Source organism: Homo sapiens, chromosome 7 (genome assembly GCF_000001405.40).
Source record: "Homo sapiens chromosome 7, GRCh38.p14 Primary Assembly".
Lineage (NCBI taxonomy): Eukaryota > Metazoa > Chordata > Mammalia > Primates > Hominidae > Homo > Homo sapiens.
This window is the reverse complement of record NC_000007.14, coordinates 24,651,942-24,665,921: the sequence shown is the minus strand read 5'-3', so window position 1 is coordinate 24,665,921 and position 13,980 is coordinate 24,651,942. Positions and strand designations below refer to the sequence as shown.

At 34.8% G+C, this 13,980-nt stretch overlaps 1 protein-coding gene across 9 annotated transcripts in view; it reads right to left on the bottom strand.

The window, feature by feature from the left end:
* The window catches only part of PALS2 (protein associated with LIN7 2, MAGUK p55 family member), a 120,742-nt gene that overhangs the window by 28,272 nt on the left and 78,490 nt on the right, over nt 1-13,980 (bottom strand). For all 9 annotated transcript variants that reach the window (NM_016447.4, XM_011515425.3, NM_001303037.2 and 6 more), the window contains 2 exons: nt 2,201-2,332; nt 235-334 (listed from right to left, as the gene is read on the bottom strand). In NM_016447.4, the coding sequence (NP_057531.2) occupies nt 235-334; nt 2,201-2,332 (232 nt within the window). The remainder of the gene's footprint in view (nt 1-234; nt 335-2,200; nt 2,333-13,980) is intronic.

Genomic DNA, 13,980 nt, shown 5'->3' with positions numbered 1-13,980 from the left:
GTGGCATCCTAGGAAGCAAAAGAGGGTGGAGGTGAGTTAAGCCACTGAATTTTGATACTCTACCAGCAGGTGGCAGAACGGGATCAAAAAAGATTACTTATGAGCGAGAGAAAGCAGAGGGAGGGATTCATTCTAGACATATTTTAAATAAATGCATTTGCTTATTTAGACAAAAGAGACAAAGAAAGGTGGTCACAAAGGACTGCTTGTTACTTATTGTGTCGAGCTCATCACCTGAATTGTCCCAGTCTCTTCTAACAAATGCCTTTCTCTTCTCTTCCAGGAACTGGCTTGGAATGAGACCAGCGCTTCCTCCCTCTTTTACATGGCTAGCCTAGAATCAAATTAATGAATTGTACATCTCAGTGACCAAAATTTGAGACCATATTCTATTAAGTAAGACAAGCAGTGGTCAGTCAAAAAAGTCACATTTGCTCTTAAAAACAACCTTGAGATTTAAATCCATAGCATTGTCAGTTAAGATATTTAAACAATTCAGCACTGAAGAATCAATTGGCACCTAAAATTCTTCATATCTGTCATCTGGTAGTGAAATGTGGGGACCAAAATACAAATTAAATTGCTAAAACTTCTTATTTATGATACTAAGTTAGAAAAGGAAAATGCTATTCTAAATAAGATGTATTAACAGGACATTTTATCTAGCACCCTTTAGTAAGATATTTACTGTCAACCTTAATCCTACTATGTTGGTATTTCAGGCCAAACCAAATGAAAAGGAGATACTATGTGGAATATAAAGTGTAGATTTTAATTTATGCCACCAGGAGTCTGAATATCCCAAGAGTTTGTAAGTTTAAACTAGGCGAAACTTCACCTAATGTAAAACAGCTAACTTAAAATAAGCTCCAAAGAGAAATATTTTAAAATAGTGGCTGGAGAACTGGCTGTTAGTGGTTTATCTCACAAAGTTAGTATTTCTATCCTTACAACTAGCATAGAAAATCTAGTATAACTTTAAGCACTTAAAATCCTGAAAAACAGAATTAAAGTAACCAACTATCAAAATGCAGGGAGAAACTGAGAGAATGGTGACAGGTTAGAAGAGAAAACTAAGAGATCGTATTCATAGGAAAAAGAAAAAAAATGGAAAACTGGAATAATTCAATAAAGGAAACAGCCACAGAGAGATTTTTTAAATGAGGGATCTAAAAAAAGTTCAGGGGAAACCTCTTGAAATCATGGATTCTGTTTAATTTACCCATTTCTTAGCTGTCTCAACACATAGTGCACTTATACATAATGTTTTAAGTTAAATTTAAGGACACATAAGTAAGATTGTTCTCATTCTGTGATTTGTTTCTCCTTAGAAGTAGATCTATAATTTAGAGCTAATGTGAGTTACCAACATCTCAGTTAATTTTAGAATTTGGTGCTAAGTCCTGGATCCTTTCCTCTTACTCCTTGTTCTTTAGTAAAACTCTCATTTGCTTTGATAGTTTAAGGCATTTCAGACTTCCTGACCTGTCAGTTTTTCCAGTTCTGAATATTGTGGTTGTTAGCTAACATAAACCATTACAAAAACAGACTTATTACTGCTGCTAGGGGTTTCTGAAAGCTGCATTAGGAGAAGAAAAAAGAATACCATTAAACAGATCTTCTGAAAAAAGGAGGGAAAAATACAGTGATAATACACATCTCTTTCCATATACACAGATTTTAATCCAAAACCAAACAAAACTGATAGAGTGAACCTCCATTTCCCAATATCTGAGAAGAGGGGAGCAAATAGACATTAAGACCTTAAGAAATGATGCTTTACTTGCTATGAACGAACATGAGGGAGAGGAGACAAGAGACACACTTATTTCACAGTAAAAGTCTCCTACTTAAAATAAACAAAACCCAAGTTATCTTTTGAAAAGGGATGACCCAAGTGAGTTCTTCTTGGCCAATAGCATATTTTAATGCAATTACCCATGTGAAAAAAACCAATTGGTCTAATCCCTAAACCAATGGGTTAGTGCCACAGGCTGGTTAATTCTGCACTTATTAAGTTGCAAATTCCCTCCCAATTTGATCTTATGTCCACAAAATTAGTAGCCACGAAGCAGGAGCTGTTCATGTGGGAAAAATCATTGTAACAAATGCTAATATTCTTCCTGACTATTCAGATATTGATCAGATCTAAGATTAAAATTAGAAAAGTAGCTGAGGAACTTCTGAGAAGCATACTAACCTGCCACCAATTTGGATCTTCTCTATTTACAATCTGAAGAATCTCTCCTTTGGAAAACTTCAATCCTGCTTCTTTGCAAGGTATTAGGTTGTCATTGTATGGATTATAATCAAAATGACACTTCACAAATACCTAAAACACATAGCACAATTAAAAATACTATAGTTGTATCACTTGCCACTGAATTTAAAAAATCCTTGTCAAACCACTCTGATTTAATTGTAACTGACAATGTATTTAGTACTTCAGATAATGAACTTGTCTCTCATAAATGGAAATCAAGTTATTAGAATATTAACAGATTTTGGTATCAGAAAGATAATAAAACTTCTTCTCTACTTTAATATCTAACTTTAAATCAACAAGAGTTTGATAATCATTCTATCCCACCATTCTTCCACTTTTCTTCAATCTTTTCACTTGATTTTCCAACCAACACTGCATAATTTTTAATGCAAGTAAATGCTATGATCCAATTAACATCCTGAAATATAATATAGGTAGTTGATTTAAGGTATATATTTCAGATGTATTAGAACTCTGTGAAAAGGCCCTGAAACCAAAATTAAACAATAAAAGTTGATGTTGAAGTCAGATATGAAATATATTTGGTAGCCTTAAATACTTTTTTAATCATCTTGCTCTGATTTATATGCTCATCTTAAATTTAAATGATCAACATTAAATTCATTGTAAGACAAATACTGAAGAAGTCTCGAAACTATTTTCCATTTTAAATTCATTTGTGTATACACATTTCTTTTACATTTGCATTATTAATAAAAGTATGTCAGTTAACACTGTTAGTTATGATCTCCGAAATTTGGGCTATTTTGCTTATTTGCTTTAATTTAAATTCTAATTAAATTATGCATTTTTGGTATTTGATGGAAGGTTCAGACCAATTGCTGTCTTTCTTTCTTTCTTTTTTTTTTTTTTTTTTTTTTTTTTTTCAGATGGAGTCTCACTCTTTCACCCAGGCTGGAGTGCAGTGGCGTGATCTCTGCTCACCGCAACCTCCGCCTCCCAGGTTCAAGTGATTCTCCTGCCTCAGCCTCCCAAATAGCTGAAATTACAGGCGTGTGCCACCACACCTGGCTAATTTTTGTATTTTTAGTAGAGACCAGGTTTCACCATGTTGGCCAGGCTGGTCTCGAACTCCTGATCTCAAGTCATCTGCCCACCTCAGCCTCCCAAGGTATGGGGATTACAGGCATAAGCCACTGCGCCCAGCCCAACTGCTTTCTTAAAACAGACTTGTTTTATATATATTTATAGAAATTCAAATGTTATCTTCTAAAGAATTGCCTTAGCATTAATCAGCATGTAAACTTTAATAAGAAAGTACACAATTAGTCAAAATAACAATGTTCTTTTTCTATTTGTTTATCATACTTCTGTAACCAACAAAATTCAAATAACACAAGTAGACATATTATATTATTAGTGTGGTAAAAGTATTGTGATCGATGCATACAAAATAATTTTAAAATAACGAAATCTGGGAACATGTAATAAAATCTTAGTTATTTATAATTAGATGATTTTCATAGAAAGCATTCAGAACATTTTCAACTACTCTAGAAAAGCTAAATATTAATCCTTAAATCAGTAGGTCAATAATTTTTTTCCTGATATATAATTTTAGATCTAAAAAGCAAGCATACAAACATTAAGATTGCTAAAGTGTGACAATTGGCTAACTTGATAATGTCATGCAGCTCCATGTTTTGACAACGGGAAAAAACCAAAATAATTAAATTTAACCAAAGGAAATTTAGTTGGCGGATAAGACAGAAAAATGAAGTACCAGAGAATGTTCTGGAATGACAGCATACCTGATGGGATGTGTGCTGGATGCCTCTCCATATTGATGAAACTCTAAAAATATATTTGTAATTGCATAAATAAAGCCAGACTTTTAATTTATAATAAATTAAGAAAATATAAACAAACTACTAGACCATTTTATTACTTCACTCATTTGGTAAGGCAACTACCTCCCTAATTAATTGTCCACAAAGTATAATACCTGCAAGTTATAAATGATAGAACAAAAAGTTAAAGGTATTTGAGATCAGGCAGAGAAAAAGGATTGGTATGCAAAGTTATAAAAATACCTGCATACTCCTTACTTCTCAAGAAAGATGCAGTGATTGAAGAATAGCAAGAGAATCCTGTCATCTAACCATGAATGTGATTACCATTCTTATGTGTGGAACAGAATATATTTTGTAACCATAAAGCTCAGACTTTACAAGATAGTCCAAATTTCAAATATTCATTCCTCCAACATCTGTCAAATTGTTATGGAAATGCCATTATCTGTGGAATACAAACCACATCTCTCAAAGGTAAAAGATTTATAGAACAATTTATTTTTTTTTTTTCATTAATTAAAGTAGTTTTAGAACATTACTGTTATGGTCAAAAACTCAGATTAACCTGATTTTACTTTGAACTTTGAAAATTTGTCTGAAAAATCAACCCAACCTTTGATCTAACCATTTTGTAATGACTCTAAAACCATTAAAGATATGACTAGATTTAGTATAATTATATTTTATTAAATGCAATTTAAAGTGTTGCACTTATAGGCTATGGATGTTAACTGTTCATTCATCATTAACTAAACACCACCTACTAAAATATTTCTATTTCATATTCTTATTACTAAAAAGAACTGAATGACCAAAATGATTTAAAGTACAAAGAAAAGGAAGTACAAATGGCTTTTAAGCATAGGAGATGTTCAACAACCTCACTCAGAGTAGAAATACAAATTAAAACTACTTTATAACATTTTTTCCTATCAGATTAGCAGAAATCCTTGTATTTTATAACATTCTACAAAAGAACTGTGGGTTAATAGGCATTTTCCTAATAGGCTTGTGGAAGAATGGTTCAACCTCTTGGGAGGACAATTTGGCAATAGCTGTCAAGATTACAAACGCATAAACCCTCTGACCTAGTAATCCATGTCTGGGAATGTATTCAACAGCTATGTTATGCAGATACATCCAAAATGACTTATGCACAAGACTACATCATTCCTAATAACAAAAGATTGGAAGCAACCTAATTGTTTAACAAAAAGGAACTGGTGAAACAAATGATGGTAGGTCTACATGATGTGGCACTATATATAGTCGTTAAAAAAGTGTGTGTGTGTGTGTGTTTGTCAATAGGAAGTGTATGCACCAATAAGGAAATATCCTCAAGACAGATGGTTAAGTGAAAAAAAATAAGGTTCAGAATAGCATGTGTACTATGCAACCTTTCTATGAAAAAGGAGGTGAAAGGTGAAAAAGGATATGTAATTTTTATTTACTTGCATATGAATGAAGAAATTCTGGAAAGATAAATTAATAGCAAAGTTTGTTACTGGTGGGGGGATGAGGACTAGGTTGGTAGTGGGAAGGATTCAGAGGGAGATCTCAACTGAATACATATTACATTTTTTGATTTTCAAACCATGGGAATGATTCACCTATATAAAAATTAAAATTTTAAGGTAATAAAGATAAATCACTCCCATTTGGATTCAGATGAAGTAACAAGGACCCTCCAACATGAAACAACTAAAAACTATGTTGACAAAATATGTGAAACAATGTCTTTCAAGATGTCCGAGATCAGGCAATGAAGATAGTGATCCTAAAAGATGGAAGAAACAAGATGAGCTGCACAATTGCCCCAGCTAACTGCAGAGAGGGTTTCCAGGCTGCAAATCAGGAAGGGAGAAAGGTGAAGCCTGATGGTCTCTAAGTTGAGGAGATGAACTGGGAGACCTGGGAGATCAAGGTGGTTACAGTGCATGGAATACAGTATCAGTGAGGAAAGGCTGCACAGAGAGAGAATTGTGAGGGACTCCCTCTGTTTTCAACTGAGTACTTAATCAATGCATGTGTATGAGGAAGCTACCTGCATCCTCTCTCTGTGTAGCTCTTTCCTCAATGATGGTAAAGAATCATTTGAAAGCATTACAGGGAACTATATATAGAAGTTGTATACGGTCAAGAATAGTTTCTGTTCTCACCAGGCCAAGTGGAAAAACCTTCGTAATTCACAGGAGGTGGGGTACAATACTTAGAAGGGTTATGAGCTAAACTACATCCTGCAATCATACCTAATAAACCTTAAAAAGCAAGATTTAAAAGAATCATCTGTATCCTAGAACAAAGGTTAAGAATGGTTATTACTAAAATGTCAAAAAATAACAGATGTTGGCAAAGTTGCAGAGAAAAGGGAACCGCTAGTGGACATGTAAATTAGTTCAGCCACTGTGGAAAGCACTTTGGAGATTTCTCAAAGAACTTAAAACGGAACTATCATTTGACCCAGCAATCCCATTACTGGGTACATACCCAAAGGAATATATATCATTCTACCATAAAGACACATGTACACATATGTTCATCATAGCACTTTTCACAACAGCAAAGATATGAAATCAACCTAGGCGCCCAATAATGGTGGACTGGATAAAGAAAATTTGGTACATATACATCATGGAATACTATGCAGCCATAAAAAGAATAAAATGTCCTTTAAGCAACATGGACATAGCTGGAGGCCATTATCTTAAGCCAATTAATGCAGGAACAGAAAACCAGATTATTGCATGTTCTCACTTGTAAGTGGGTGCTAAACATTGAGTACATATCGACACAAAGAGGGGAACAACAGACCCTGGGGCTTACTTGAAGGCAGAGGATAAGAGGAGGGTGAGGACTGAAAAACTACCTATCAGGTATCATGCTCACTACCTGGGTGACAAAATCATTTGTGCACTACACTCCAGAAACATGCAATTTATCCATGTAACAGACCTGTACACATACCCCTTGAACCTAGAAGTTGGAAGGGCCGGGTGCAGTGGCTCACACCTGCAATCCCAGCACTTTGGGAGGCTGACGCAGATGGATCACGAGATCAAGAGATCGAGACCATCCTGGCCAACGTGATGAAACCCTGTCTCTACTAAAAAAAAAAAAATTAGCTTGGCCTGGTGGCACGTGCCTGTAGTCCCAGCTACTTGGGAGGCTCAGGCAGGAGAATCACTTGAACCCAGGAGGTGGGGGTTGCAGTGAGCCGAGATCGTGCCACTGCACTCCAGCCTGGCAACAGAGCGAGACTCTGTCTCAAAAAAAAAAAAAAAGTTGGAAGAAAAAAAAAGAATATTTCTAATACAAAAATATCCAGCACCCAACAAGGTAAAATTTTTGATGCCTGGCAGCCAATCAAAATGGCCAAGCACGCAAAGAGGGAGGAAATAACCTATAACAAGGAGAAAAATCAATGAAGAATGACCCAGAAATGTCAAATGTGCTAGAATTAGTAGAAAAGGACATTACAGTAATTGTTTCAACTTTACATATTATATTCATGGTTCAAGAAACTATAGGAAGGATTAAGTCTATTAAACACATGCAGATATAAAAAAGACCCAATCTGAACTTCTAGAAATGAAAGCCAAAATATCTGAGATGAAAAATACCCACTAGGTGTGATTAATAGCAGATTAGACATTGCAAAAGAAAAGATTAGTAAACTTGAAAACAAAACAATAGAAAACATCCAACATGAAAAATACAGAGAAAAAAGGCTGAAATAAATGAACTAATCAGTGACCCATGGGACAACTTCAATGGGCCTAATATACATGTAACTACAGTCACCAAAGGACAGGAGAAACAGAAAAATAGAAAAAAATGTCTGAAGAAATTATTGTCAAAGTTTTTCTAAATTTGATGAAAGAAATAGTCTTTTCAACAAACTGAGCTGGAAAAATTGAATATTCATATGCAAAATATAAACTCTGATCCTTTCCTCACATCCTATATAAAAATTAACATACAGTACACGTATCATAGACTCAGAGGTACAGCATAGATAGAACTGTAAAACTTGTAGAAAACAAATTGGAGAAAATCTTCATGACCTTAGGTTATACAAGGACTTCTTAAAGCCACAAAAGGATGACTCAAAGAAAAAAAATCATAAATTGGATTTCATCAAAATTCAGAACTTCTGCTCTTTGAATGACATTGTTAAGAGAATGAAAAGACAAGATAGAGACTGGAAGAAAGTCCTGGCAAATCCCAATTCTGATGAAGCACTTGTATAATGAATACATAAAGAATACTCAAAACTAAGAAAAACAATTCAACAAAAAATGGACAAAATATTTGAAGACACTTCGCCAAAGTGCACAGAAGTATGGCAAATAAACACATAAAAACATGTTCAATATTATTAGTTATTAGGAAAATGCAAATTAAAATCACAGTGAGATACCACTACACACTATTAGAATGGCTAAAATTTTAAAGACTGACCATACCACATGTTGCCCAAAATGTAGAGTAATTGGAACTTTCATATAATGTTGGTGGAAATTTAAGTTGTTATACTAACTTTTGAAAACGGTTTAGTCATTTCTTCAAAAGTACAACATATACCTACCATATGACTCAATCCTTCAACCCCTGGTATATACTCAAGAGACTTACATGTAAATGTCCATAGCAGCTTTATTTGTAAAAGCCCCATACTGGTAACAAAAAAATGTTCATCAGCCAGGTAATGGATAAACAAACTGTGGTACAGCCATGCAATGGAATATCACTTGTCAATAAAAAGAAATGAACTATCAATATACATAACATGAATGAATCTCCAAACAACTATGCTGAGTGAGGGAAGCTAAACAAACGAATCAAACAAAATCCAAAAAAGAATACAGGTATTCCATTTATATAAAAATAAGGAAAATGCAAAATAATTTAAAGTGACAAAAAGCAGAGCAGTAGCTGCCTGGAGTCAGGGGTGGTAGAGAGAAAGGGAGTAGGAGGGAAGAATGAGAAGTGGACACAAAGAAGCTGGGAGGCCGGGAGCAATGGCTTATGCCGGTAATCCTAGCACTTTAGCAGGCTGAGGCAGGCAGATCGCTTGAGCACAGGAGTTCAAGACAGCCTAGACAATGTAGCGAAACCCTGTCTCTACAAAAAAAAAGAAAAAATACAAATATTAGCCGGGTGTGGTGGTGCATGCCTGTGGTCCCAGCTACTCAGAAGGCTGAGGTAGAAGGATTATCTGAGCCCTGGGAGGCTGAGGCTGCAGTGAGCTGTGATCATGTCACTGCACTCCAGCCTGGGTGACAGAGTGAGGCCCTGTCTCAAAAAAAAAGAGAAAGAAATGGACACAAATAAATTTCTGGGAGTGTTCATCATCTCAATTGTGTTGACTTCATGGGTATATTATGTATGTCCACATGTATCAAATTGTACACTTTATGTTATTTATATAAACTTTATCTCAAGGATATTTTTAAAAGTAAAGATAAAAACAGTAAAAGTATTGAGGAAATATTGCACAGGAATACACTATGCTTATGCAAATGACAATAATTAGTGGGAGAAAAATTAAATGGATGAAACGGCTAGAAAAACAGCTCCACCTTGACCCTGATGTTAAATCAGAAGGTGGCTAGTAATTCATTTGGGAATGTGTTGGCTAAACATGGTGCAAATGTTGCTTATTGAACCTACTTCTTAAACCATAGTTCCAGGCCCATCTGAATCTGCATTTCAGAGTGAGTGACAAGATGGTGAACAAAGTGATTATCATTGCTAAGAGATTTTCCATGACACTAGCTGAGATGATCAAGGAAGGATGCTCTTTTTCTAAAAATTTTCAGTGTACGAACTTGGTCTACTTCGTTAAATACAGATGTACACACACATTTTTGATAACAGCAAGATAACAAGAAGGTATGTTTGGTTAAAAAAGTTTTGAAGGGCAATCCACGTTCCTTTCTGATAAATACCTGAGGGCCACAAATTGAAGCCTCAGCCAAATAAAAAATTTTATTTTAAAAATCATATAAAAATTAGCCAGGCATGGTGGCACACACCTGTAGTCCCAGCTTCTTGGAAGGCTGAGGCAGGAAAATTACTTGAACCCGGGCGGTGGAGGCTGCAGTGAGCCAAGATCACGCTGCTGCAGTGAGCCAAGATCACGCCACTGCACTCCAACCTGGGTGACAGAGCTAGACTCTATCTCAAAAAAAAAAAAAAAAAAAAAAAATCTACTAACTACTAACCTAGGCCAAAATTATACTAATCATAATTCTTAAGTTTATATCACTGGTTCGTGCAAGGACTGCTTTTGTCGATTCAATTAGTTTTAATAATATAATAGACAGCTATGCACTTGCCACCTAAAACTAACATTAAAATCCTACTTGATTCTCCTGCCCTCATTCCATCCCATCCCATCATTCGGTTTCCCCAACCAAGGCACACTTCACCCTGAATCCTGGGTTCACAAACTCCTTGCTTTACATTTTGATTATAGTTCTACTGCATCTATACGTACTCTTTATATAGTTATTTTAAACGTAAAAAAATAGTATCATGCTATATGCATGTAATCTTTTGGGGTTTATATGCTTATTAACATGTTTCCAGCTGTACATACGTAAGAATTGCTCTAGGGAATTACTGCAGCTTGATATATGTGAATATTTAACTCTAAGAGACATTAAACTTTTCTCCCCAATGTGTTTATACCAATACACACTGCCACCAGCAATGTAGAAAAGATGCTGTTGATTCACAGCTATAATTTTTACCAACTTAATGGTATATCACATTATGATTTTCAATATATCTTTATATGTTTACTGAACACATGTCCCCTTTTACTTGATTTTTCTGTGTAGAGTGAAACACAATTTCAAACAGTATCCCTAGAATAACCAGGTTCCCCCCATTCATTGCATCATCTCCTTTCCACATTGAAAAACATTATCTCTGTCACATATCAAAGTAATATGTATGTGTAGGTCTCTTTCTGAGCTCTCTAAAAGTCCATTGATCATGCTGTCTCTTCCTATGCCAACATCACAATATCTTAATTCCTACATATTAATAATCAGACCCCATTCCTGCTTTTCTGATTCAAAAGTGTCTTGGCTATTCATCTTATCAAATTCCATGGAAAACCCTGTTTTGACTGGAATTCCATTAAATCTACAAGTTAATGAGTGAAAAATCAACATCTTCACAATATTGTCTTCCTGTCCATGACATGATATACCTGCTTATTTAGATCCTCTTCATAATTCCTTTGTGTAGAGGTCTTGAATTTTTTTGGTTAATTTATTCCTAGACATAAATGTGACATTCTCTGACTCTACTATAAATGATGTCATAGTTACATTTCTAGACGTTTGCTGATGACATACAGAAATGCAATTGAGTTTTGTGTCTTCATCTTATTTTCAGGTACCTTGGTAAACTCTATTATTTCTAATAAGTTGTAGTTTTGAGGGGTTTCTATGCAAAAACATGATCATATTTGTAAATAAGTTTTATTGCCTCCTTTCCAAACATTTTGCTTGTATAATTTATTTTTGTCATACTGTACTTATGGATCCTTCAAGAAAATATTAAATATAAGTGGTGCTAGTGAGCATCCTTCTCTAGTTTCTTTTTTTTTTTTTAACTAGGCAAAGGCTTTATCTTTGTTTTAAACTATTTTCTGGCTAATTAATTGCCAATAAATAACTGTATATAATCAATAATTAAAAAGCAGTGTCCAAGGGTCTTGGAATTTATAGACTTACATTTTATCATATATAAAACAAAAATTTTAAAAGCAGTTAAAATTCTTGAAATTGTATTATTTTTTAGAAGCTGAATCAATTCAGTTTGCCTCACTGTTGGAAGCTTCATCAAAATTCTGAACAAGATCACCACTTCCCCAATAGTAAGTGGTACTTTTCCATCCAGCTTCTGCCAGTTTCCTTAAGCTTGTTGACACCAAGCTGGTTTAAGACACTGGGTGGCATTTCTGTTAGCTGCTTTGTCTCAGCATGTCTGGTAATGGTCAAAGTGTTCGCTGCTAGAGATGTCTGAACACTGGGATTGTTAATGAAGATCACCATTCCTTGGTTTGCAGACATACCTCTTTAGTATCAGAGATATTGCCTATTTCTACTTTCTTTCAGGAAAACTGAAGATTTTTTTTATCATCTGTTTTAACAGATAATGTTTGCTGTATCATCTGAGGGCAGTTCCTTTTTACCAGTGCACAATTGTGCTTGAAATCTGGCAAGTTTTTCATGGTTTGTGAGGGCTTTTTCATTTTATAATGAAAACGAAAGTGGAATTTCGTGAGTGGAAATTAAACTTCGTGGGGTATTGGGGTTGGCACTAGAGGTCTCAGGCAGACCAGCTGCAAGGCCAGTTTCTGACTTTAAAGGGAAAGCTTCTAACATTAGTTAATTCAGAATAATGTTTGTTCTATTTTTTTTTTTTGTAATAAAATTAAGGCTTTTCCCTTCTGTTCCTAATTTACTAATCATTTTTTAAAAATCATTGAATTTTATCAAATTCTCCATTGAGGTTATTCTCTTTTCATCTGGTAATGTGCTTAGTTACATACATATGGATTTTCTAATATGAAACTCTCCTAGCATACCTGGGATAATAAATCTAACTTGGATATGTTGTATCATCTTTGTTATATACACAATCAAATCTGATTTGCTAATATTTTGTTGAGAATTTTTAATGTATATCCTTGAATGAAACAGTCCTGTAATATATTTTCTTATATTGTTTCTAGTTGTCCAGGTCATGTTGGTTCCAAAGAATAAGAGAGAATTCCTATCAGTTGGCCTTAATAAACAAATGGAATTACGAATAGCCCCCGGAAATCTAAGCTATAAGAAAGTTGAAGAACTTCAGAATTGGCTACTTCTAACTCACTCTGGCCCTCAAAATTTAAAACATAGATACTTATGTCCCATAGCAGATTCTGGACTTTTACCAAGCACCTGAAACGATTCTGATAAAGATCATCTACTGACTATGCTTTTGAAAAACATTACCGTGGTAGGGAAGAGTTCTTGGCTTTCATTTGCTCTTGCAGCAATCCAGAGCTGAGACTAGCTCCACAGCACTACATGGTGGAGATTTTAGTGAAAGAGTTGAAGACGCAAAATGCCCTTGCTTCCCTATAGCATCTCAGTAGGATGCCCATGGTTTGCAGATGCCCTGGTTTATGCCTATTATTCCAGCATATGAGTAATGTTCCCCTTTTCATTTAAAAAAAAAAAAGTCTCAATTTGGATGTTCTTTTGGAAGCCTTCATGTTATAGTTTCTTTACTTCTTTATGGGAGGACACGCCTCAGGCTACCTCGGACTTATAAGACTCCTCCTCTCCTACTTGAATTCATTTCCCCAGCTCTAAATGCTAAGTGAAAAGCAGAGTTTGAGAGGGTATGGAATGTGGAAAACTTATGTTTAAACAAGGCTAAATGTCCTTGCATTTCATGGTATTCAGTTAGTTCACCAGATGCAAAATCTATGTAGGAATTTGGGCCAAAGCCCTAGTTATTAATATTATAAAATTTTATTTTGCCTGTAAAAGTCTCTTATAGCCATGGTGAGCTAGAAGAATTCTGGAGTTTAGACCACAGAAGGAAAATAAGATCTTCCTACTACAACTAACACATAATAATAAATAAAATACGTAAATCCTAGATTTTACTCTTCCAGCGTACGCAGGTCCAAGATAAGGCCTCAGGCTGTCACAAATTGAAAGTTGCCAACTGAGGAATAAAGGTAGCCTGAGAGGTACTAGTGATATGAAATGTCTAAGTACTAATATCATTTATTTTTCACAATTCTTTTCCTTGAGGACCACAAAACTACCTTCATTTCAACCAAAGTTAATTACAAGCCTATCTATTTTCATAAGTTCA